Source organism: Homo sapiens, chromosome 1 (assembly GCF_000001405.40).
Source record: "Homo sapiens chromosome 1, GRCh38.p14 Primary Assembly".
NCBI classification, from domain to species: Eukaryota; Metazoa; Chordata; class Mammalia; order Primates; family Hominidae; genus Homo; species Homo sapiens.
Window position 1 is genome coordinate 36,230,827 of NC_000001.11, and position 25,561 is coordinate 36,256,387.

The 25,561-nt window shown below is 43.6% G+C and overlaps 1 protein-coding gene and 1 pseudogene across 17 annotated transcripts in view, besides 3 other annotated features; one reads left to right on the forward strand and one right to left on the reverse strand.

Moving 5' to 3' along the window:
• THRAP3 (thyroid hormone receptor associated protein 3) overlaps window positions 1-25,561 on the forward strand; it is a 97,721-nt gene that overhangs the window by 23,190 nt on the left and 48,970 nt on the right. For 2 of the 17 annotated variants that reach the window (XM_047436215.1, XM_047436245.1), the window contains exon 3: window positions 7,925-8,037. The exons of 12 other annotated variants lie outside the window; for them this stretch is intronic. The gene's annotated coding sequence lies outside the window, so the exon portion shown is untranslated. Of the gene's footprint in view, window positions 1-7,194; window positions 7,285-7,924; window positions 8,038-13,221; window positions 14,662-25,561 lie in introns of those variants that run through there. 3 more of the 17 variants (XM_047436218.1, XM_047436250.1, XM_047436233.1) reach the window with 2 other exon arrangements.
• Window positions 11,072-11,330, reverse strand: UBE2V2P4 (ubiquitin conjugating enzyme E2 V2 pseudogene 4; annotated as a pseudogene).
• Window positions 17,502-17,796: an enhancer, noted in NCBI's record as "tiled region #14041; HepG2 Activating DNase unmatched - State 5:Enh, and K562 Activating DNase unmatched - State 5:Enh". NCBI's record gives its function as "activates a minimal TATA promoter and a strong SV40 promoter by Sharpr-MPRA in HepG2 and K562 cells {active_cell/tissue: HepG2 | K562}" and the evidence as "EXISTENCE:reporter gene assay evidence [ECO:0000049][PMID:27701403]".
• Window positions 17,502-17,856: a biological region, named in NCBI's record as "Sharpr-MPRA regulatory regions 10257 and 14041".
• Window positions 17,562-17,856: an enhancer, noted in NCBI's record as "tiled region #10257; HepG2 Activating DNase matched - State 5:Enh, and K562 Activating DNase unmatched - State 5:Enh". NCBI's record gives its function as "activates a minimal TATA promoter and a strong SV40 promoter by Sharpr-MPRA in HepG2 and K562 cells {active_cell/tissue: HepG2 | K562}" and the evidence as "EXISTENCE:reporter gene assay evidence [ECO:0000049][PMID:27701403]".

The following is a 25,561-nucleotide window of genomic DNA, read 5'->3' on the forward strand; positions in this document are numbered from 1 at the left end:
TTGTCAACATTTAAAAAGGAGATTTTGTGTAAAAATGTGGATTCAGGCTGCTTTTGAAAAAGCAGATCTGGCAGCCATGGATCTGCTTTTCTGTTTTGCAGCAACCATCTTTTATAGTTGGGGCATGTCATTTCCAATTTGCCCTAGACCCTGCCAACAGTCTGACATGTAGCCCTGACCTGGACAGAGTGTTAGTTGGTATTTACTATTTTATACCTTTCTATTACTTGTCTATTTTCCATCTTTTATTACCTGTTCTGGATATATCATAGAGGTCTCTGATACTCCCATTCATAGTCACTTTGCTGTCTTACATTATCATTGACCTTTTTTTTCTGTCTTGGTACCTTATATCCTTCGTTTGTTTCTTCTTAAAAAAAAAAAGATTTTAGGCAGCTTTGAAAGATGGAGTTGAAGCAATGCAGGGGGAACCCCCAAAACACTGAATTACTTTGTTTCCAAACTGAAGAAAAACAGACTTTTGGAGAGCATAGAGGCATTGGTCTCACCCCTGCCGGTGCCTTGTTTAGCTGGTATGTGTTCAGTGTACTCACTTTTGTTCTGCTTGGTTTGCTTTATAGCATCTGGAATGTTGTCACTGCATAGCTTGGCCTGTCTCAGAAGATAGAAGGCCAAGCAGAGTTGTTGAATGTCTCATTAATAAGACTTTTGGCTCTTGTCCTGAGACATAACAACTAAGGTTATTCTATTGTTTTTTAAAATAATATACTGCTGTGAAGTCCATTGTATTGTTTTCAGTAGTGCCATGTGATTTTTTTGTGTGTATGTGAGGTTAACAACTCAATTTCCTTTTTCTCGATTTTAGTAAAAAGGATGGCATGAATAAAGGATTGATAGAGGAATGCATAGAGGTGAGACTGTATTGTAAAGTTAACGAGGAAGTTTCTTTACTCAGGGTCTTTCCTTTATAGCAGGGCTTCACAGAAGATGGTCCCAGTTTATCTAAAGACTATGTCCTAGAGTCTTGACTAATTCCTTTGGCTTGAAAGACTATCGGCTATCAGAAAAAAACTTTTAATATGAAAGTGATTGAGGAATTGGTCAGATTCCGGTGTTGGGTTGCCCAATAGAGAAAAAGATTTAGTGGCTGGGTGTGGTGTGGTTCACGCCTGTAATCCCAGCACTTTGGGAGGCTGAGGTGGGTGGATCACTTGAGGTCAGGAGTTTGAGACTAGCTTGACCAACATGGCGAAACCCATCTCTACTAAAAATAGAAAAATTAGGCAGGTGTGGTGGTGTGCGCCTGTAATCTCAGCTACTTGGGAGGCTGAGGCAGGAGAATTACTTGAACCCGGGAGGCAAAGGTTGCAGTGAGCTGAGGTTGTACCACTATACTCCAGCCTGGGCAACAGAGGAGACCCTATCTCGAAAAGAAAAAAGTTAAATTTTTAAATATAAGAAATTCTTGTTTCAGGCATAAGATGACCCTTTACATAGCCTTGCTTTGTATACTCATAAGTTCTTATTACTTAAGTGTTAAAGAGTTGCTGTATCACCTTGGCTTTGGCAGTTTTGATGTATCTTTGTACACATGTATCTATTACATTGGGAAATGTCCTGAAAGAGGCCTTTCTTGACTCCTCTATAATAGTACTCCTCTTCAAAAACTGTTGCTGTTTCCCTCCCCAACCCTACATTATTACTATATGACATGATATTTATTTTTAATCTATCGTGTTTCATCCTTCACGTCTTTAGAGAGTAAGAGGGATTTGTTTTATTCAATGTTGAATCTAGTCACTACCTAGGACATTGAGTTACGTAGAAGAGGCATAGTAAATATTGAAAAAAGGATGAGTTAATATGGGAATAAGTAAATAACTGGCTTGATGGCATTCTCTGAAGTGCTCCCATTGTCAAGTCCTAGTTCACTCAGGTTCTGTTAAGTTAGCAGTTGAAAATAATTTGTACAGTGGTAGGTGAGTAGATTGCCAAGGGGCAAGAGGGTACTTTCTGGAGTGATAGAAATATTCTGTTTTGGTCGTGGTGGTGGTTACACAGTATGTTTTGTCAAAACTCATCGAACTGTATCTTTTTTTTTTTTTTTGAGACAGTCTCACTCTGTTGCCCAGGCTGGAGTGCTGTGGCGCGGTCTCGGCTCACTGCAACCTCCCAGATTCAAGCAATTCTACTGCCTGAGCCTCCTGAGAAGCTGGGATTATAGGCACATACCACCACGCCCAGCTAATTTTTGTGTTTTTAGTAGGGACAGGGTTTCACCGTGTTGGCCAGGATGGTCTTGAACTCCTGACCTCAGGTGATCTGCCCCCTCGGCCTCCCAAAGTGCTGGGATTACAGGCGTGAGCCACTGCACCTGGCCATCGAACTGTATTCTTAAGATGTGTACATTTATTGTGTGTGAATTAAAAAGTTGATTTGGCCTGGCGTGGTGGCTCACGCCTGTAATCCCAGCACTTTGGGAGGCTGAGATGGGCGGATCACGAGGTCAGGAGATCAAGACCATCCTGGCTAACATGGTGAAACCTCGTCTCTACTAAAAATAAAAAAATTAGCCAGGCATGCTGGTGGGCGCCTGTAGTCCCAGCTACTTGGGAGGCTGAGGCAAGAGAATGGCATGAACCTGGGAGGGGGAGCTTGCAGTGAACGGAGATCGTGTGACTGCACTCCAGCCTTCCAGCCTGGGTGACAGAGTGAGACTCCATCTCAAAAAAAAAAAAAAGTTGATTTAAGGCTGGGCACAGTGGCTCATAGCCTGGGCATGGGCAACATGATGAAACCCCACCTCTACAAAATAAAATAAAATAAAAAATTAGCCGGTGTGGTGGCATGAGCCTGTAGTCCCAGCTACTTAGGGGGCTGAGGCAGGAGGATTGCTTGAACCCAGGAGGTTGAGGCTGTGGTGAGCCAAGATTGCACCACTGCACTCTAGCCTGGGTGACAAAGTGAGACCCTGTCTCAAAAAAATAAAAAATAAAATAAAAATTTGTATTCAAAACCCATTCTATCAAGGCTATTCTGCAGAACTGCAGGTAACTATAGTAAGTAGGTTGTGATAATGATAGTTTTCTGAGTTGTCCTCCTCCTTCAATCAGAACAGTTGTGCATTTATATTTTATACTTTGAGGCTCTGCTTAACATTTCATTTTTTCTTTTTCTTTTTATTTTGAGATAGGGTCTTGTTTTGTCACCCAGGCTGGAGTATGGTGGCGTGATCACGGCTAACCTCAGCCTGGACCTCTTGGGCCCAGGGAGTCCTCCCACCTCAGCCTCCTGAGTAGCTAGGACTATAGGTGCCCACCACCATGCCTGGCTAATTTTTGTAGTTTTATAGAGACAGGGTTTCACCATGTTGCCCAGGCTGGTCTCGAACTCCTTCCTCAGCTTCCCAAAGTCCTGAGATTACAGATGTGAGCCACCACACCCGGCCAACATTTTATTTTTAAAAAGATAAAACTGATAAGTCCCCTAATACCCTTCTACCCTACCCCAGGGTTTATTCAAGCAGAGCACACATTTTGTGAAAGCCCTGGTGGGGCAGGGAGGTGTCTTCATTTCTTCCCCCCTGCTCACAGACAGATGGTGGTTGAAAAAATTCAGACATTACAGAAATAGGAAATGTAGAAAGTAAAAGTTTCTCATAATGTCATTCTTCAGGCCAGTGTTTGGATATATAGAAGAGATTTTTACTGTTATGGTATGTCGTATGTATATATATTTTTTCCTTTGGTACTAGATGAAGGTATTTCTGAATAGTAAAGATAAAGAGGAACCGTGGAGGAGAAATAGGGATGCACTTCTTGGGTTTGTTTATTATGAAAGCTTAATATTTAGCATCTTGCTTCAGAAGAACTTAAATTGTAAAAGCCTGTTCTGATAATTCATCTTTTCCTTGGAAATTTAGAAGGTGACATTAATTCTTGGGTTAATGGTGAATGCTTTGTCTTATTCATTGTGTAGAACCTAGCTTGCCTCTTCTCTTCCTTTATTTCTGTTTCAGTCTTTTTTTTTTTTTTTTTTTTTTTTTGAGATAGAGTCTCGCTCTGTCGCCTAGGTTGGCGTGCAGTGGCACGATCTTGGCTTACTGCAACCTCTGCCTCCCGGTTCAAGCAATTCTCCTGCCTCAGCCTCCGGAGTAGCTGGGATTACAGGCATCCACTACCGCGCCTGGCTAATTTTTGTATTTTTAGTAGATTCGGGGTTTCGCCATGTTGGCCAGGCAGGTTTCGAACTCCTGACCTCAGGTGATCCACCCGCCTTGGCCTCCCAAAGTTCTGGGATTACAGGCGTGAGGCACTATGACCAGCCTGTTCAATTTTAAATGGAGGTAGAAATCTCTGTCTAGCTGCAGGGGGGGTTATTGTGATGGTTAGATGATTAACCCAATGACAGGCACGTGGTAGGTATTCAGCACATGAATATCATTATAATTTTCTTTTTTCTGTGAAGATTTTGACACCATAGATAATAATATTATTGTATATGGAAACAAGAAGATAGATTGTTTGGTAACTATTTGGAAAAGGAAAGTAGTCATAAGAAGTTAAGTCTGAAAAGACAATGAGAAACACTCAGAACCCTCAACCCCACAGCAGTTGGAAAGAACAAAGGATACCAAAAAGGCAATATTTTAAGATAGTGAAGGATGGTGTAATTATTCAGTAAATGGTTCTAGAAAAATTGGTTGACCATTTTGAAAATTAGATTATTAATACTGACAAGTCTCATATGAAAACCAGAGAGATACAGATGAAATTGAGATACCATTTTCTTCCTGAGATTTCCACCGTGACAAAAAAATATGATGATTATTGTTGGTGAAGGTTTGGGGAAATTCTCAAACACTGCTGGTAGCAGTATAAATTGCTGTAGACTTTTCTAGAGGACAACACTATGTACTTCAAGGAACACACCTTAAGGATTTCCTATTGGACAGGTCCTTAAAGATAAGAATAATCATTACAGTATTATTTATGTAAGTGAAAAACTGATAGCAACCTAAATATATGCCACCATGGGACTGCTTATGGTACATTCATATAGTGGAATGCTAGGTAGAAAAGAGATGGAGACAGGAAAGTCATGTTTATTGACATAATACAGTGAGTTTCAAAAAAGTCCAGGATTAATGCTTTTGTTTGGTTTAAAAACCTTTATGTCGGACTGGGCGTGGTTGCTCCCACCTGTAATCCCAGGACTTTGGGAGGCCGAGGTGGGCAGATTGTGAGGTCAGGAGTTCAAGACCAGCCTGGCCAACATAGTGAAACCCCGTCTCTACTAAAAATAAAAAAAAAAAATTAGCTGGGCATTGTGGCAGGTGCCTGTAGTCCCAGCTACTTGGGAGGCAGAGGTTGCAGTGAGCCGAGATCGCGCCCCTGCACTCCAGCCTGGGTGACACAGCGAGACTCAGTCTCAAAAGAAAAAAAAAAAAAAACCTTCATGACAGACTGGGCGCAAAAACCAAACCTTTATGTCTCTCCATTTCCTCCTTGATCAGTGTCTATTAAGTATATGTTGAGCTCTAAAAATTTAGTTCATCAGTCATACTAGCTATATAGAACTACATAGATATAGGACATTTCATTCTCAGAAAGTTCTAGTAGAGAGACAGTGCTGGTATACATTGCCCTTTTTCTTCCTTTCTTCCCTTCCTTCTTCCCCCTTTCCTTTTCCTCCTTCCTTCTCCCCACTCCAGTCTTCCTTCCCCTCCCTTCCCCTGAGCTTAACTGATCCTCCCACTTCCCCCTCCCAAAGTGCTGGGATTACAGGCTTAAGCTACCACTGCACCAGTCTACCTTGCCTCTTCATATCTTTGTCAGCATCTTCTGCCGGGGCCGGCTAGTACATGCAGTTTTCCATCCTTAGATTTCACAGAAGAGTTTCCGAATTTCCTTTGTCATTTATGTATCACCATTTTCATATTAACTAATTAAACTCTACCTCTCAGCCCACAATGGACATGTTCAGAATGCAGAGAGAATGCTGTTACCTCTATGCTGAAAGTAAACAATTTGGGGACAATTTTACTGAACCTCTTAGCTCTGGAGTATGCATATATATAACTTTGAGTTTCTGTTCTTTAAAAACAATGCTGGGTGTGGTGGCTCACAGCTGTAATCCCAGCACTTTGGGAGGCCGAGGCGGGCAAATCACCTGAGGTTAGGAGACCAAGACCAGCCTGACCAACATGGAGAAACCCTGTCTCTACTAAAAACACAAAATTAGCCAGGCGTGGTGGCGCATCCCTGTAATCCCAGATACTGGGGAGGCTGAGGCAGGAGAATCGCTTGAACCTGGGAGGTGGAGGTTGCGTGCCATTGCACTCCAGCTTGGGCAATAAGAGTGAAACTCCATCTCAAAACAAAAAGCAGCTAGGTAGGGGCCGGGCATGGTGGCTCATACCTGTAATTCCAACACTTCAGGAGGCTGAGGCAGGTGGATCATCTGAGGTCAGGAGTTCAAGACCATCCTAGCCAGCATGGTGAAATCCTGTCTCTACGTAAAATACAAAAATCAGCTGGGCGTGTTGGCAAGCACCTGTAATCGCAGCTACTTGGAAGGCTGAGGCAGGAGAATCGCTTGAACCCAGGAGGCAGAGGTTGCAGTTAGCCAAAATTGCTCCACTGCACTCCAGGCTGGGTGGCAGGAGTGAAACTTCATCTCAAAAAAAAAAAAAAAAAAAAGGCTGGGCGCGATGGCTCATGCCTGTAATCCCAGCACTTTGGGAGGCCAAGGCAGGCAGATCACTTGAGGTCAGGAGTTCAAGATCAGCCTGGCCAACATGGTGAAACCCCCTCTCTACTAAAAATACAAAAGTTAGCCAGGCATTGTGGCGGGCGCCTGTAATCCCAGCTACTTGGGAGTCTGAGGCCGGAGAATTGCTTGAACCTGGGAGGTAGAGGTTGCAGTGACCCAAGATCATGCCACTGCACTTCAGCCTGGGTGACAAAATGAGACTGTCTGAAAACAAAACAAACAAACAAAAAAAAACAACTAGGTAGGAAATAGGTTTTTTTTGTGTGTGTGTGTGTTTTTGGAGACAACCTTGCTTTGTCACCCAGGCCTCAGTACAGTGGCATGAACATAGCTGACTGTAGCCTCAAACTCCTGAGCTTAAGTGATCTTCCTACATCAGACTCCTGAGTAACTGGGACTGCAGGTGTGTACCACCATGCCTGGTGATTTAGCAAAATTTTTTTTTCTTTTTTTTAATAGAGACGGGTTTCACCGTGTTAGCCAGGATGGTCTGGATCTCCTGACCTCGTGATCCACTCATCTCGGCCTCCCAAAGTGCTGGGATTACAGGTGTGAGCCACCGCGCCCGGCGATTTAGCAAATTTTTTGTAGAGACAGGGTCTCGTTTTGTTGCCCAGGGTAGTCTTAAACTCCTGACCTCCAGCCATCTGCCCACCTCAGCTTCCTCAGAGTGCTAGGATTATATGGGTAAAACATCGTGCTCAGCCTGAACTAGAATTTAGATTAAGTACCACATTTGATGTTACTTGATTTTTCTGTTTGTGGGAAATTTGGAAATTAGGCATTAAGTACTTGCCTATGAGTGCTAGGCATTTATTGGAATGGAAATATGTGGTATGAAAAATCTTTTTTGATTCGTATCATTTTCAGATTTAATTCCTATCCAGATTATTTTTTTAGGGGTAGACTAATTTATTGCTTAGATTGGGGCTTCAAGTGTTGCCTTCAGGATACTGGATATTTATGATGAGTGAGCTAAAGCTTGTTTAGTGTCTATTTTGGGGCTATGGTAGGCAGATCTCTTCCCACTGGTTAGTGTTATTACAGCTGTTGTGATGATCTCATTGAATGTAGCTAAAATGGACTTTTAGTCAGCAACACTTTTAGAAGATTTAGTGTAATGAGTGAGCTTTTCGGGCTTTTGTTTTGTTTCGTTTTTTTGGAGACAAGGTCTTATTTCATTGCCCAGGCTGGAGTGCAGTGGTGCAGTCATAGCTTACTACTGCCCCTCAAACTCCTGGGCTTGAAAGGTGACTCCTGATCCTGAGAGGATCGAGTGATCCTTCCACCTCAGCTTCACAAGTAAGTAGCTGGGACTGTAGGTGCATGCCACCATGCCCGACTGTTCTTTCTTTCTTTCTTTATTGTTTAATTATTATTATTATTTTTTGAGATGGAGTCTTGCTCTGTCGCCTAGGCTGGAGTGCAGTGGCGCGATCTCGGCTCACTGCAAGCTCCGCCTCCTGGGTTCACGCCATTCTCCTGCCTCAGCCTCCCAAGTAGCTGGGAGTACAGGTGCCCACAACCACACCCGGCTAATTTTTTTGTTAGCCAGGATGGTCTCGATCTCCTGAGCTGGTGATCCGCCCGCCTCGGCCTCCCAAAGTTCTGGGATTACAGGTGTGAGCCACCATGCCCGGCCGTGTTTTTTTATTTTCTGTAGAGGCGGGGTCTCCCTGTGTTGCCCAGGCTGGTCTTTTTTTTTTTTTTTTTTTTGAGTCAGCTTCTCGCTCTATTACCCGGGCTGGAGTGCAGTGGCTCGATGTCAGCTTACTACAACCTCCGCCGCCCCTGCACCGGCTTTCAGCGATTCTCCTGCCTCAGCCTCCCAAGTAGATGGGATTACAGGTTTGCGCCACCATGGCCAGCTAATTTTTGTGTTTTTAGTAGAGACGAGGTTTCACCATGTTGCCCAGATTGGTCTTTAATGCCTGTGCTCAAGTAATCCTCTCACCTCGGCCTCCTAAATTGCTGGGGTTACAGGCATGAGCCACCTTACCTGGCCAAACTGGCTTTTACATTTCATCATCCCTGTAAGGCCTTTGTTTCCCTGGTTCTGGGTAGGTTAATCACTCTGTATCAAGTGTATTCTAGCAGGGATGGCAATATCTTTGATTTCTGTTTTCCTCCAACATTTTATTAGGAAAGATTTCAAGCATACAAAAAAGTTGAAACAATTGTACAGTACAGTGAGACCTATATGTCCATCACCTAGATTTTACATTTGTTAGCATTTGCTTAATTGCTTTGTCACTTCTTTCCACTAATCAACTCATTTTACTTTTTTCGTGGTAAAATATGTATAACATAAAATTTTATCATCTTAATCATTTGTTTTTGTGGCTACATTTCACAATTTATTTACATTTTAAGATAAACCTTGAGCTCAGAATGACATATCCCTATGTGTTTGTTTTTTAGTTGACTTCACGTAAAGGCATGGTTTGTTACACAAAGAATATAAATATTTACCATGTCTGTTACATGTAACACATAAGAACAGCTTGTAACAGAAATTCATCAACCCCCCTACATTAAGGTTCTCCAGAGGGACAGAACCAAAGGGTATATGTATAAATAAAAGTGAGTTTATTAGGAAGAATTGGCTCTCACAGTTACAGGGTGAAGTTCCATGATAGGCTGTCTGCAAGCTGGGGAAAGAGAGAAGCTGGTCACGTGGCTCAGTCCAAGTCTAAAAGCCTCAAAACCAGGGAAGCCAACAGTGCAGCCCTTAGTTTGAGGTGAAAGGGCCCGAGAGCCCCTGGGAGGCCTCTAGTGCAAGTCCTAGAGTCCAAAGGCTGAAGAACCTGGAGTCTGATGTCTAAGGGCAGGAGGAGAGGAAGCCAGGCATCTGTCACAGCATGAGAGAGAGAGCAGACTCAGCAAGCAATCTACTTATCCCCATTGTTTAGCTGTGCTTAAAGCTGATTGAATGGTGTCCCACCCACATTGAGAGTCCAGCTGGACATGTGGGCTGGTTCCTCTCACAGTCCACTCACTCACATGTCAGTCTTCTCTGGCAACACCCTCACAGACGTACCCAGGAACATTGCCTCAGCCATATAGCTATTCCTCTGTCCAGTCAAGTTGACACCTAATATTAACCATCACAGCCCTTAACATTTTTTTTGGTATAAATATAGGTATCAAAATAATCCTGGACATATTTTGGATTTTTTTTTTCTTGTGTATATTTTGGATACTTCTAGAAGTCAGCACCTGCACCGCTTCAAAAATTAACATAATTTGTGATAATATTTATTTTACCTGCTACTTTAAACAATTTTGGCTGCAGTTTTTCACTAAGCAAAATAGGTAAAGTGTGCCATTTCTGTTTTTTCCTTCTTAAGATTTTTACTTTTCGGCCGGGCGCAGTGGCTCACGCCTGTAATCCCAGCACTTTGGGAGGCTGAGGTGGGCGGATCACGAGGTCAGGAGATCGGGACCATCCCGGCTAACACGGTGAAACCCCGTCTCTACTAAAAATACAAAAAAATTATCCGGGCGTGGTGGCAGGTGCCTGTAGTCCCAGCTACTTGGGAGGCTGAGGCAGGAGAATGGCGTGAACCCAGGAGGCGGAGCTTGCAGTGAGCCGAGATCGGGCCTGGGCGACAGTGCAAGACTCCGTTTCAAAAAAAAAAAAAAAAAGATTTTTACTTTTCAGAAATACGTGCCGCTGACACCTGACACCTCTCACCACACTTGTTTTTGTAAACCTGAATTCTCTTTAGAGTACTTCAGGTTTATGTTTAAATGACAGTGCCCTAATGAGAAAAAAAATTGTGCTGTATTTTTCTTCCCATTATCTGAAATGATAATGGGTGTATATATATATATATATATATATATATATATATATATATATATACACATATATAAATAAATATATATTCTTACAAATGTCCAGGTCATGTTTACCAGCAGAAATTCTTAATGTGTGAGTATTTTGCATTGTGATATTTAATTAAGACATTAACATGAGTAGAAGGTTGACTGAAGTTTAAGATCCGCTAAAATTTTTTTTTTTTTTTTTTTCAGACAGAGTCTTGCTCTGTTGCCCAGGCTGGAGTGCAGTGGCGTGATCTTGGCTCACTGCAATCTCCACCTCCTGGGTTCAAGCAGTTCTCCTGCCTCAGCCTCCAGAGTAGCTAGGACTACAGGCACCCACCACCATGCCTGGCTAATTTTTGTATTTTTCTTAGAGATGGAGTTTCACCACATTAGTCAGGCTGGCCTCGAACTCCTGACCTCAGGTGATCCACCCACCTCGGCCTCCCAAAGTGTTGGGATTACAGGTGTGAGCCACCATGCCCGGCCAAGATCTGCTAAAATTAATTGTCATGGTTTTACTTCTGGTGGCTGTGGAAGCTACTTATTTTCTTTGGATGTCATTAGATGTCTTAGCTCTTGAAGTAAGTAGAACTTTAATGTTGTATGGATTTTGCCATTTTGCTAACACTGGTATGCTCCATGCATCCACAGTCCCGCTGGAATTAATTTTTCCATTCATAATAATTTTTGTTATAAACCTAACTGATGGAGCTTCTGGGTATTTAGGTCTACATTCTACTTCAGGTTATATATTCTGCTTTCATTTTTTTGTTTGTTCATTTATTTGTTTTTTGAGACAAGGTCTCACTGTCCCACAGGCTGGAGTACAGTGGCACGAACATACGAACTCCTGGGCCGAAATGATCCTCCTGCCTCAGCCTCCAGAGTAGCTGGGACCACAGGTGTGCGCCATGATGCCTGGCTAATTTTCTTTATATTTTGTAGAGACCAGGTCTTGCCATGTTGCCCAGGTTGATCTTGAACTCCTGGGCTGAAGTGAGCTTCCCAGCTTAGTCTCTCAAAGTGCTGGGATTACAGGTGCGAGCCGTCTGTTTTGATTTTTTTTTTTTTTTTTTTTGAGATGGAGTCTTGCTCTGTCGCCCAGGCTGGAGTGCAGAGACGCGATCTCCGCTCACTGCAAGCTCTGCCTCATGGGTTCACGCCATTCTCCTGTCTCGGCCTCCTAAGTAGCTGGGACTACAGGCGCCAGCCACCACGCTCGGCTAATTTTTTGTATTTTTAGTAGAGACGGGGTTTCACTGTGTTAGCCAGGATGGTCTGGATCTCCTGACCTGTGATCCGCCTGCCTCGCCCTCCCAAAGTGCTGGGATTACAGGCGTGAGCCACCACGCCCACCCTCTGTTTTGATTTTCTAAGGCATATAGATAGATTTGTCAGTCTTTACCTTTATGGTTTGTACTTATAGAATTTTGTTTGAAATCCTTCCTCACCCTGAATTCATACAGATATTCTCTTCTGTTTTCTTCTAAAAATTTTAAAGCTTTTCACAGTTAGTGTTTTTTTTTAATTGCTTATTTTATTTTATTTTGAGATAGACTGGGCATGGTGGCTTGCACATGTAATCCCACCACTTTGGGAGGCTGAGGCAGGAGGATTGCTATGATCATGCCACTGCATTCCAGCCTGGGTGACAGTAAGACCCCATCTCTAAAAACAAAAATAGAATGCTGATTGTGGCAAGCTGCTAATGTTGCTTATAAGTGGTTTGGGAATAAGATGCATTTTGTGAGGAACTTTCTTTTTTTTTTTTTTTTTTTTTTGCTCTGAGCCCAAATGAGGGTTTCTTTTTATTTTTTTATTTTTATTGATCATTCTTGGGTGTTTCTTGCAGAGGGGGATTTGGCAGGGTCACAGGACAATAGTGGAGGGAAGGTCAGCAGATAAACAAGTGAACAAAGGTCTCTAGTTTTCCTAGGCAGAGGACCCTGCGGCCTTCCGCAGTGTTTGTGTCCCTGGGTACTTGAGATTAGGGAGTGGTGATGACTCTTAAGGAGCATGCTGCCTTCAAGCATCTGTTTAACAAAGCACATCTTGCACCGCCCTTAATCCATTCAACCCTGAGTGGATACAGCACATGTTTCAGAGAGCACAGGGTTGGGGGCAAGGTCACAGATCAACAGGATCCCAAGGCAGAAGAACTTCTCTTAGCACAGAACAAAATGAAAAGTCTCCCATGTCTACCTCCTTCTACACAGACACGGCAACCATCCGACTTCTCAATCCTTTCCCCACCCTTCGCCCCCTTCTATTCCACAAAACCGCCATTGTCATCATGGCCCGTTCTCAATGAGCCGCTGGGCACACCTCCCAGACGGGGCGGTGGCCGGGCAGAGGGGCTCCTCACTTCCCAGTAGGGGCGGCCGGGCAGAGGCGCCCCTCACCTCCCGGACGGGCGGCTGGCCAGGCGGGGGGCTGACCCCCACACCTCCCTCCCGGACGGGGCGGCTGGCCGGGTGGGGGGCTGACCCCCCCACCTCCCTCCCAGACGGGGCGGCTGGCCGGGCGGGGGGCTGACCCCCCCACCTCCCTCCCGGATGGGGCGGCTGGCGGGCGGGGGGCTGAACCCCCCACCTCCCTCCCGGACGGGGCGGCTGGCCGGGCGGGGGGCTGACCCCCCCACCTCCCTCCCGGACGGGGCGGCTGGCCGGGCAGAGGGGCTCCTTGTGAGCTTGTGAGGAACTTTCTACTTAAGAATGACCAAGTGGCCTTGTGGGAAGGAAGAGGGTTGCCATTTGTTAATGGTGTTTATAAATTGCTATTGGATTAGTATAAGCTGCAAAGCAGCTACTAATTTATTTTCTTTAACTAGGAGAATCATAATATGGACATTTTGGATAGGCATCTTTTTAATTTTCTAAAGATTTCCAAAATTGGTAATGTTATTTCTAATTAGGAAGTTTGGTTGAAAATAAGTTTCTGAACTCTGTGTCAAATCTAGTAGCTACTTCCAATTTGTAATTAAAAAAAGAAAAAGTCTTCAAAGGTTGAATGTGCCTTCATGGATTCTCCAGCATGAGCAAACTGAAGTATCCAAAACTGAATTAAAAATTTCATCTAAATTATACCTTCTTCTTAGCTTTACTATACTTAGTGTCAAACTGATTTCTTAGATTTCGTAGTCACTTAGTTTTGAAACCTTGATTCCTTTCCTCTTCGTCACTTCTACGTCTAGTCAGTTATTTGTTGAATGCCATGTATGTGTAAAGCAGTTTCAGATTTCACTCCTGTGAGTTCTATTTCCATTGCTATTGGATGCCTAGTGAGGAAAGCTCCTTTTCTCATATCTACCTGTACAATTTTACTTGTGGGTTTTTTTTTTTTTTGAGACAGAGTCTCGCTCTGTTGCCAGGCTGGAGTGCAGTGGCGCAATCTCAGCTCACTGCAACCTCCGACTCCCTGGTTCAAGCAATTTTCCTGCCTCAGCCTCCTGAGTAGCTGGGATTACAGGCACACGCCACCACGCCCAGCTAATTTTGTTTTGTATTTTTAGTAGAGACGGGGTTTCATGATGTTGGCCAGGATGGTCTCAAACTCCTGACCTCGTGATCCACCCGCCTCGGCCTCCCAAAGTGCTGGGATTACAGGCGTGAGCCACCACGCCTGGCCAGAGCCAGGTTAACTACTAAGTCTTCCTCCTGAAAACCTTACTTTGTTCCTCTAGTTGTAAGTGGCCTTTGCCATTGTACCACTCTGGTGGTGCTGAGTTCTGACATGTATTATATAGATCTCTGCATGTGACACCCCCATCCCAATCTTTTTTTTTTTTTTTTTGAGACAGAATCTCACTCTGTTGCCCGGTCTGGAGTGCACTGGCACAATCTTGGTTCACTGCAACCTCCATATCCCAGGTTCAAGCGATTCTCCTGCCTCAACCTCCTGAGTAACTGGGATTACAGGCCTGCGCCATCACACCCGGCTAATTTTTTTGTATTTTTAGTAGAGACGGGGTTTCACCATTTTGGCCAGGCTGGTCTCGAACTCCTGACCTCAGGTGATCTCCCCACCTCAGCCTCCCAGAGTGCTGGGATTTTAGATGTGAGCCACCACGCCTGGGTCCTTTCCCCAATCTTACAGGTAAACAAACTCCTTAAAGACCTTAAATATGATAGGTGCATGTCTTGCTGACTGAATGATTCTGTTCCAGGGTCTGTTCACCTCAAATGTGATAGCTTCCTAACTTTGTCTTGCCCATCCTGATCCATCCCCTTATCCCAACAGTTTGCCTGCTTAGAAACATGCAGTGGCTTCCCATTTGCAGAGATAAAGTTTACTTTTCTTTTTACTTGGCATTTGAGGCTAGCTATGTTTTGGTTCTTCCCCTGGGTAAATGTGTCTCTCATTCCTTGTCTCTTGATCATTGCATTTTAATAGCCCTTGAACAGTTATATTTGCTTTTCCAGCTAGGACTTTTTATTTTTCGCTACTTCCTCCCCACACCCACCAAAATCACGTATTTTTCAGTCAGTAGCAATTTTGAATAAATTTAAGATTATAGTACATCTGATAATAAGAGGTAACCTGAGTGCATATCTGTGCTTACAGTCGTTCTAAGTACATTCCATGTATTAACCATTTAATTATTCCCTACAATCCTAGGGGGAGGTATGATTATAATCTGCATTTTACAGATGTAAGTGAGGCAAGGAAAGATGAAACAGATCCAGGATTGCACAGCTAGTAAAGGGGATAGAGCTGGATTCAATCCCAGAGTCTGGTTGTAGAGCATGTAAATCTTTGTCCATTTTTTCATGGAACTCCAAGGCACCTGGGGCTGGCAGACTGGTGCATGAGAGGATAAACAGTATTATATCTGTGAGAATTTCAAGCACAGTATATAGGAATATGTATAGAGTAAGACCTTGTCATTGGAGAAAAGTGGAGCGATCTTGGCTCACTGCAACCTCTGCCTCCTGGGTTCAAGCAATTCTCCTGCCTCAGCCTCCTAAGTAGCTGGGACTTCAGTTGCACACCACCATGCCAAGCTAATTTTTGTATCTTTAGTAGAGACGGGGTTTCACCATGTTGGCCAGACTGGTCCCGAACTCCTGATCTCAAGTTATCTCTCCGCCTTGGCGTCCCAAGGTGCTGGGATTACAGGTGTGAGCGACTGTGCCCAGCCTTTTTCTTTTTAAAAAATAAATAACATGGGCCGAGTGCGGTGGCTCACACCTGTAATCCCAGCACTTTGGGAGGCTGAAGCAGGCAGATCACGAGGTCAGGAAATCGAGACCATCCTGGCTAACATGGTGAAACCCTGTCTCTACTAAAAATACAAAAAATTAGCCGGGAGTGGTGGCCGGCACTTGTAGTCCCAGCTGCTCGGGAGGCTGAGGCAGGAGAATGGCGTGAACCCAGGAGGCGGAGCTTGCAGTGAGTGGAGATCGTGCCACTGCACTCCAGCCTGGGCGACAGAGTGAGACTCTGTCTCAAATAAATAAATAAATAAATAAATAAAATTACAGGCATAACTGCATATTTATCAAAATTGTATCAACGGTTCTTTTTCTAATTCTCTGAAAAAATTGATAATATACATTGTTCACATTATAACTTTTGCAAAAATATTGAGGGCTTCAGTTTTCTCAAGGGCCTTTCTTAGTCTTTTTTAAAAAATTACTTTTTTGGCCGGGTGCAGTGGCCCACGCCTGTAATCCCAGCACTTTGGGAGGCTGAGGCGGGCGGATCACGAGGTCAGGAGTTCCAGACCAGCCTGGTCAACATGGTGAAACCCTGTTTCTACTAAAGATACAAAAATTAGCTGTGTGTGGTGGTGGGCGCCTGTAATCCCAGCTACTCGAGAGACTGAGGCAGGAGAAGCTCTTGAACCTGGGAGGCACAGGTTGCAGTGAGCTGAGATGGAGTCACTGCACTCCAGCCTGGGCGACAGAGCGAGACTCCGTCTCAAAAAGACAAATTAACTTTTTTTTTTGAGTTGGAGTCTAGCTCTGTCGTCCAGGCTGGAGTGCAGTGGCGTGATCTTGGCTCACTGCAACCTCGGCCTCGTAGGTTCAAGCTATTCTCCCACCTCAGCCTCCTCAGTGACTGGGATTACAGGCGTGTGCCACCATACCCCACTAATTTTTTGTATTTTTAGTAAAGATGGGGTTTTACCATGTTGGCCAAGCTGGTTTTGAACTCCTGACCTCAAGTGATCCACCCGCCTCAGCCTCCCAAAGTGTTGGGATTACAGGTGTGAGCCACCACACCCAGCCTTAAAAATTAACTTTTAATTGTCAAGTATGATATACAAGAAATATGTGTACATTGTGGAATGGTTAAATCTAGCTAATCAACATATGTATTGCCTCATTTTTTTTGTGTGGTGAGAACACTTAAAATCTCTCTTGGCGATCTTTGAATATACAGTACATTATTATTTACTGCACTTACCATGTTGCCCAACTTATTCCTCTTAACTGAAATTTTGTATCTTTTGACCACATCTCCCATCTTCATCTTTTTTTTTTTTTTTTTTTTGGGAGATGGAGTCTTGCTCTGTCACCCCGCCCAGGCTGGAGTGCAGTGGCACGATCTTGGCTCACTGCAACCTCCACCTCCCAGGTTCAAGCGATTTTCCTGCCTCAGCCCCCCGAGTAGCTGGGATTACAGGCACACGCCACCATGCATGGCTAATTGTTGTATTTTTAGTAGAGACAGGGTTTCACCATGTTGGCCAAGCTGGTCTTGAACTCCAGACCTCAGGTGATCCGCCCACTTTGGCCTACCAAAGTGCTGGGATTACAGGCATGAGCCACGGTGCCCAGCCTCCTTCATCTTTTAATATTTAAAAAAATTATTCTTTTCTTTCAGGCCTTCATTTTTGTTCATCTCCTCAGTTGTTAACTGGTCTGACCCTGCCATATCTTTATTTGTTGGTGGCTTTGACTGAGTTTTGAATACTTTTATTGTAGAGATGGGGGTCTTGGTTTGTTGTCCAGGCTAGTCTCGAACTCCTAGCCTCAAGTGATCCTTCTACCTTGGCCTTCCTAAGTGTTGGATTGCAGGCCAGACCCATTGCACCCAGCCTCAGCCTCTTTTTTTTTTTTTTTTTTGTGAGACAGTTTTGCTTTGTCACCTAGTCTGGAGTACAGTGGTGCAATCATGACTCACTGCAGCCTTGACCTCCTGGGCCCAAGCGATTCTCAGCCTCCCGAGTAGCTAGGACTACAGGCATGCTTTATTTTTTTGTAGAGACAGTCTCATTTTATGGCCCAGGCTGGTCTTGAACTCCTGGCTTCCAGCATTTTATATTTCTTTGTATCCTCTGTAGTTGTGCTAGTTTCAGTAAATTCTTATGTATGTGAGGGCTCACTTGATTTATACTTGTGTCTTCACTGTTGCCATGCTTGCTCAGATGTTTATTATCTTGGGGCTCAAACTTACCTATTGAGCAAACATGATGAAATCTACCATGTACCAGGCATTGCGTTAGGTGTTGGAGGAGATACAAGATAAATATAAGGCACAGTCCCTATTCTTTTTCTTTCTTTCTTTTTTTTTTTTGGAGACAGTGTCTTGCTCTGTTTCCCAGGCTGGAGTGCAGTGGCGTGATCCTCAGCTCACTGCAGCCTCTTTCTCCTGGGTTCAAATGATTCTCCTGAGTAGCTGGGACTGTAGGCATGCACCACCACATCTGGCTAGTTTTTGTATTTTTAGTAGAGATGGGGTTTCACCATGTTAGCCAGGCTGGTCTCAAACTCCAGACCACAGGCTGTCCACCTGGGCCTCCCAAAGTGCTGGGATACAGGTGCAAGCCACCGCACCCAGCCAGCACAGTCCCTTTTTTTTTTTTTTTTTTGAGATGGAGTCTCGCTCTCGCCCAGGCTGGAATGCAGTGGCGCAAGCTCCGCTCACTGCAAGCTCTGCCTCCCAGGTTCATGCCATTCTCCTGCCTTGGCCTCCCGAGTAGCTGGGACCACAGGTGCCCGCCACCACACCTTGCTAATTTTTTGTATTTTTAGTAGAGACAGGGTTTCACCGTGTTAGCCAGGATGATCTCCATCTCCTGACCTCGTGATCCACCTGCCTCTGCCTCCCAAAGTGCTGAGATTACAGGCGTGAGCCACTGCCCCCAGCCCCACAGTCCCTATTCTTAAGGGACCTTCATGTTTAGTGGGAGAGACAGTTAATTACAATACAGGATGATAAGGGCAATAGTAGAACCTGGAATGAGATGCTCACTGACTCCTTCTGGAGAATTAGGGGAAGGTTTTACAAGAATTTACATTTGAGCTGTTGCTGGAAGGTTTCGAATAAGCGAAGCAGGTGGTGAGTGTGTGTGTGTGTGTGTGTGTGTGTGTGTGTGTGGTGGAGGTTGAGACAGGAGTGGTGGTTTGGTGAGAGGAGGCTATTCAAGGCAGTGGGACGAGCATGTCTAATGGTGTGGAACAGGAAAGTTCATTCTAAAAATGTAGTTTGATTAAGGGTAGAAGCATAGGAGTCAGTGGTAGAAGGTGGAGCGAGTAGAGCAGGATTGCAGTGTGCTTGTATTGAATTTTATGCAGTAAGCAGGAAGGACCTTTAATTGGAGGAATGACATGATCATATTTGTGACAGGTTATTCTGGCATCAAATTTGGTCTCTTGTTTATAGACGAAAGCAATCTAGAGAAGTTGGTTATCCTGGTGTAACGCCTTGGGTTAAATGGGTTATTAATCAAGTTTGGATGAAAATTTTTACAAAATTCGGCAATTACATAAGGTAGACTCTGGATATATTATCGACATTTCCAACTCTAAAATTAATAATTTTTTACTGACTGAAATTTCCTTCCAAATAGGCCCTTAGTGAATTAGGCATACTTTTTTTTTTTTTTTTTGAGACAAAGATTTGCTCTGTCGCCCAGGCTGGAGGGCAGTGGCGCGATCTCAGCTCACTGCAACCTCCGCCTCCCGGGTTCAAGCAATTCTTCTGCCTCAGCCTCCCAAGTAGCTGGTACTACAGGCGCCCGCCACCACACCCAGCTAACTTTTGTATTTTTAGTAGAGACCAGGTTTCACTATGTTGGCCGGGATGGTCTGGATCTCCTGACCTTGTGATCCGCCCGCCTTGGTCTCCCAAAGTTCTGGGATTACAGGCGGTATATTCTTATAATCAGAGATTTAGCATCCTCTGTGTTCTCTAGTAGAGTACAATTTAGCCACGTAATAGTGAGATTATTTAGGAATGTTTTCTAAGACTGACTTTATAAGACACATTAAAAAAATATACCTTAGAGGCTGGGCACAGTGGCCCACGCCTGTAATCCCAGCACTTTGGGAGGCTGAAGCGGGCGGATCACTTGAGGGCGGGAGTTCGAGACCAGCCTGGCCAACATGGCGAAACCCAATCTGTACTAAAAATACAGAAAATTAGTTGGGCGTGGTGGTGCGCGCCTGTAATCCCATCTATTGGCGCAATCTCAGCTCACTGCAACCTCCACCTCCTGGGCTCAAGCGATTCTTGTGCCTCAGCCTACTGAGTGGCTGGGACTGTAGGCGTGTGCCACCACGCCCAGCTAATTTTTGTATTTTTAGTAGAGATGGGGTTTTACCATGTTGGTCAGGCTGGTCTTGAACTCCTAAGCTCAAGTGATCCGCCCACCTTGGCCTTCCAAAGTGCTGAGATTACAGGTGAGTCACCGCACCTGGCCTGAATGTTCTTAATGTCACTGAACTGTACATATAAAAATGGTTAAAATGGGCAGTTGTATGTTATGGCACTGGAGATATAAAAAGGAATTTGATCTGATACCTGCCCTCAAGGAGTAGTTTACTTTAGTAGTAGTGCATGACCACTGGTTTTCAAGGAAATAGAGGCTCAAGTGATAAGGAAATGCTGGTAGCTTATAAAAGTTTTGTAATGTGATAAAAAGATAAGTTCTGGGAAAGTAGTCATTATGAGTTCTTGACAGTTCAGTCTGATCTACTGGACCGGGATAACTCAGATGGGAAAGTTACTTTTCCCCAACCTCTCTGCACAGCCCGAGAGCATGAGTTTAAAAACCATTGGTCTAGGTAGAAACGTTCAGGTGCATCAGTTGGCATGTTTGATTCCTCTCTGTGTTGTACATTGAGACCTTGAGGCACAGAATGATAGGGTTATTTAAGGAGCAGACTCATTCAACCTGGAATTAGGCATAGGCTTGGGTTTGTCGTTGACAGAGCCTACTGCTCTTTTTACAGGTTTTCAAGATGGAATTAGTGTCTTATGTTCCGAGTTTGCTATAAAGCTAAATTCTGAATTCGCATGAGAATGTAATTGTTTAATGACCACATGACTACCCAAACCAGCTTGTTGAAGTCGTGTCTTTTCACTGTCATTTTGATACTGGCCCAATTAACAATATTTATTGAGTACTCCTTTGTGCCAAGCACTTTTCTGAGAACTTTATACATATATTAATTTATTCGGTGTTCAACAACACTGTGAAGTAGGAACAGTTTTATAGATAAGGGACCACAGATAGTGAGATTTAATTAAGTCACTTATCCGGGGTCTCACAACTAGTAGTTGGTGGAGTTGGGAATCAAACATAGGCTTCAGAGCCAGATGTGCTCTTATTATTTATTGAGGAGTTCAGTTGCTTTGGAAATTGCTTTGGGATGACTAATTACTGACTTTTATTTGTTTTACTATGAGTTGCTGGGCATAAATATTAAAAAATATCAGTTCCTACCATTTGGGAGTCTTACAGTTTTGAGAATTACTATTCATGAGGGTTTATTTTTATTTTTATTTATTTATTTTTGAGACGGAGTTTTGCTCTTGTTGCCCAGGCTGGAGTGCAGTGGCGCTATCTTGGCTCACTGCAACCTCCGCTTCCCGGGTTGAAGCAATTCTCCTGCCTCAGCTGCCCAAGCAACTGGAATTATAGGCATGTGCCACCATGCCCCGCTAATTGTGTGCTTTTAGTAGAGACGGGGTTTCACCATGTTGGTCAGGCTGGCCTGGAACTCCTGACCTCAAGTGATCCACCTGCCTTGGCCTCCCAAAGTATATGTTTACAGGCATGAGCCACCGTGCCTGGCCAAGGTTGATTCTTAGTGGCCATCTGCACTAAATGCATTTGTTAGACAAATGATGAAGAAAAGGGGTTGATAACCTTTCCAAAGGGTCAGATACTTTAGGCTTTGCTGGCCAAGAGGCAAAGTTGAGGCTACTCTGTGGGTACTTACATGACAAGAGAGAAAACAACTTTGCACAAAGTTTTTATTTCAAAATACAATAATCAGGCTAGGCACCGTGCCTCACACCTGCAATCCCAGCGCTTTGGGAGGCTGAGGCGGGCAGATCACCTGAGGTCAGTTCGAGACCAGCCTGGCCAACATGACGAAACCCTGTCTCTACTAAAAATACAAAAAAATTAGCCAGGCATTGTGGCGCAAGCTTGTAATCCCAGCTACTTGCAAGGCTGAGGCACAAGAATCTCTTGAACCCGGAGGACAGGGGTTGCACTGAGCCAAGACCATGCCACTGCACGCCAGCCTGGGTGACAGAGTGAGACTCTGTCTCAAAAAATATATATAGATAGGCATATATATATATATATATATATATATATATATATATATATATAAATGTAAATAATGAGTATAATTTTTGTAGTAACAGGGCTATAAGAATGGAATTCTGCTTTTGGGGAGTACAATTTCACTTAATTGGGTTTCCAAGTTAGCAGTGCCTTTCAAAATTGATGGCAAATATTTATTTGTTAATGCTGATCTGTCGTGAAGTTTTATGTGTGTCATCTTTGAAAATGTCTTCACACAGATTGGGTACTGCCAAATACATTAATCATTGAGCATGTGATTTTAATTGAGCAGATTTATCTTTTGGAAGGCACAGAAATGTGTTAGATTCTTGATATTTGTCTTTTAGCATACCATAACATTGCAGATAAATCGCTTCCAATTGAAGATTAGATGGAAGCTCCTTAGCTGCACAGTTAGACAGATTTTGAAATATGGAGATTTAGTTTACACATGCATTAAGGTTGGAAATATGCTGGAACTGTAGTTTGAGCTCAGAAGATCTGCTTCAGATTTGTGTGGGTATGGAGATATCACTTCTTGTTCAACTTTTGACAGTATGAGAAGTGAATAAAGTAATTTGACATTTCTTGAAATTGAAACATTTATTGTCATTAGTATTATTTTATTACAGTATGTGTTTCCCATAGAAGTGCTGTTTTGACTTCTAATTTTGTTTTATTTCTTTGAGACAGAATCTCCCTCCGTCAGCTAGTCTGGAGTGCAGTGATGAGATCATAGCTCACTGCAACTTCAAGCTCCTGGGCTTAAGCGAGCCTCCTGTCCCAGCTTCCTGAATAGCTGGGACCACAGGCGTACACCATTGAGTCAGGCTAATTTTTTTTTTTTTTTTTTTAGTTTTTGTAGAGACGGATCTTGCTGTGTTCACTAGGCAGGTCTCAAACTTCTGACCTCAAGCTGTCCTCCTACCTTGGCCTCCCAAAGTGTTGGGATTACAGATGTGAGCTACTGTGCCAGGTCTTTGTAATTTTAAACTGTATTCATTAAGAAACATTATCAACTCTGCAGCAAAAGCTAACTTCAAAGCTATTTGGTATCCGCAACAGTAATAGTGGTTAAGGGTGGTTCTTGTTGAAAAATTTCATACTCAGCCCTGAGCTTTTCAAGAAACATAAAATTTTTCTGCTTCTAACTCATCAAACTGCCGTGTGGTAGGGCAAGTCAGGATATTCACCTTCTTTTTCTCAGCACTGCACTCCAGCCTAGGTGACGGAGACCACGTCTCAAGAAAAAAAGTCTGCAGAGAAACTGCTGATAAATAACCTTACATTTTCACAACGTTTGCCAGTTTTTCCAACTAAGTCCTTTTCTTCTCCACAGATATTTTTTACCGTCATTTGCTTTCTTGTAAGTTGGGAATATTGGTAAGATCAATGTATGTTATATTCTTGGCATATCTGTGGTGTCATTTCATAATAAACACAATGATTTGCTATCAAATTCAATAACAAAATGATTCACACTTCACACTGTGCCTTAAAAGGGTAACATCAACATCTGCTTTTCTTGTTTTGATGTGATGGATATGCACTGGTAATTAAAAATAATAATAAAATGTGATACTGCCTATGCATGGTATGTGAAATGCTGTTGAGTTATAACTGTGTCACTGCAATTTGTAGCAGAGCAAAGCAGTGAGACCACTGAAGGCAGTCCCTGTTGCAGCTACTCAGATCTCCTGTCTTAGTGTGCAAGTAGCCATATGTAAATGAATGTGACTGTTCCTATAAAATTGTTTATGGGTGTGTAAATTGGAATTTCCCCAGCCCAGCAGCTAATCTGGGGGAAAAAAAGAAGTTGGAATGTTGTATAATTTTAACCTCTAATGAAGTATTTTTTTGATAAAAAAAAATTTTTTAAAACAGAAACCATTCTTAGCTCATGGATGGTACAAAACCAGACAATGGGCTAGATTTGGTCTGTGTGCCTTAGTTGCCATCCCATATTACAGAAGGCTCTGTATACATGACTTATTTGGAAGTGATCTGTTTTCTCTCCAAACCCATTTATAGTAATTTCACCAGTCTTGGATCAATCTTGGTTTCCACTGATACCATGAAACCTACTTGGAGCAGACATTGCACAGTTTTCTGTGGTAAAAACTAAAGGTTTATTTGCTAAGCTGTCATCTTATGCTTAGTATTTTTTTTTTACAGTGGGGAATTGCTGAGATTACATTTTGTTATTCATTAGATACTTTGGGTTAACTTGACACTGTCTTCTTTTTTTCGCTTTTAATTGCTATCATCATGCTTTTGAAACAAGAACACATTAGTCCTCAAGTATTACATAAGCTTGCTTGTTACGCCTGGTGGTTTAAAGGACTATCTTTGGCCTCAGGTTCACAAGAGTGGGCAAAGTGTTTCCTTATGTTCTGTAGTTCTCAATAAAAGATTGCCAGGGGCCGGGTACTGTGGCTCGCACTGTAATCCCAGCACTTTGGGAGGCTGAGGCTGGCGGATCATGTGAGGGCAGGTGTTCGAAACCAGCCTGGGCAACATAGTGAGACCCTGTCTCTATTTAATTAAAAAAAAGAATGCCAGGCCAGGCGCGGTGGCTCATGCCTGTAATCCCAGCACTTTGGGAGGCTGAGGTGGGCGGATCATTTGAGGTCAGGAGCTTGAGACCAGCCTGGGTAACATGGTGAAACCCTGTCTCTACTAAAAATACAAAAAAAAAATAGCTGGGTGTGGTTGTGCATGCCTGTAATCCCAGCTACTAGGGAGGCTGAGGCAGGAGAATTGCTTGATCCCAGGAGACGGAGGTTGCAGTGAGCTGAGATTGCACCATTGCACTCCAGCCTGGGTGAGGGAGTGAGACTCTGTCTCAAAAAAAAAAAAAGAAAAGAAAGAAAGATTGCCAGGGGTACTTGAGGTGAGATAAGGAAAAAAAAATTCAGTCTTGTGTACCATAGGAGATACAAATGGTATGGTCCTAGAATGTTAGCGTTTACCCTTTGTTTGGATTTGGAAACTATATCGTCGTTTAAGGTCTACTAATGTGTGGAACATGGGAGCGTTCTGAGTGACACGCTGGTCTAAGGCACTGTTGTCCTTTATCTGGATCATTATTATTATTTTATTCTTTTTTGAGACAAGGTCTTGCTCTGTCACCTAGGCTGGAGTGCAGTAGTGTGAACATGGCTCATTGCAGCCTCTGTCTCTTGGGCTCAGGCAGTTCTCTTGCCTCAGCCTCCCATAATGTTGGGGTTATCGTTGTAAGCCACCACACCTGGCCTGCCTGGATTATTATTATTATTATTATTGTTATTATTGTTATTATTATTATTATTACTTTTTGAGATGGAGTCTTGCTCTGTCCCCCAGGCTGGAGTGCAGTGGCGCAATCTTGGCTCACTGCAACCTCTGCCTCCTGGGTTCACGCCATTCTCCTGCCTCAGCCTCCTGAGTAGCTGGGACTACAGGCGCCCGCCACCACGCCTG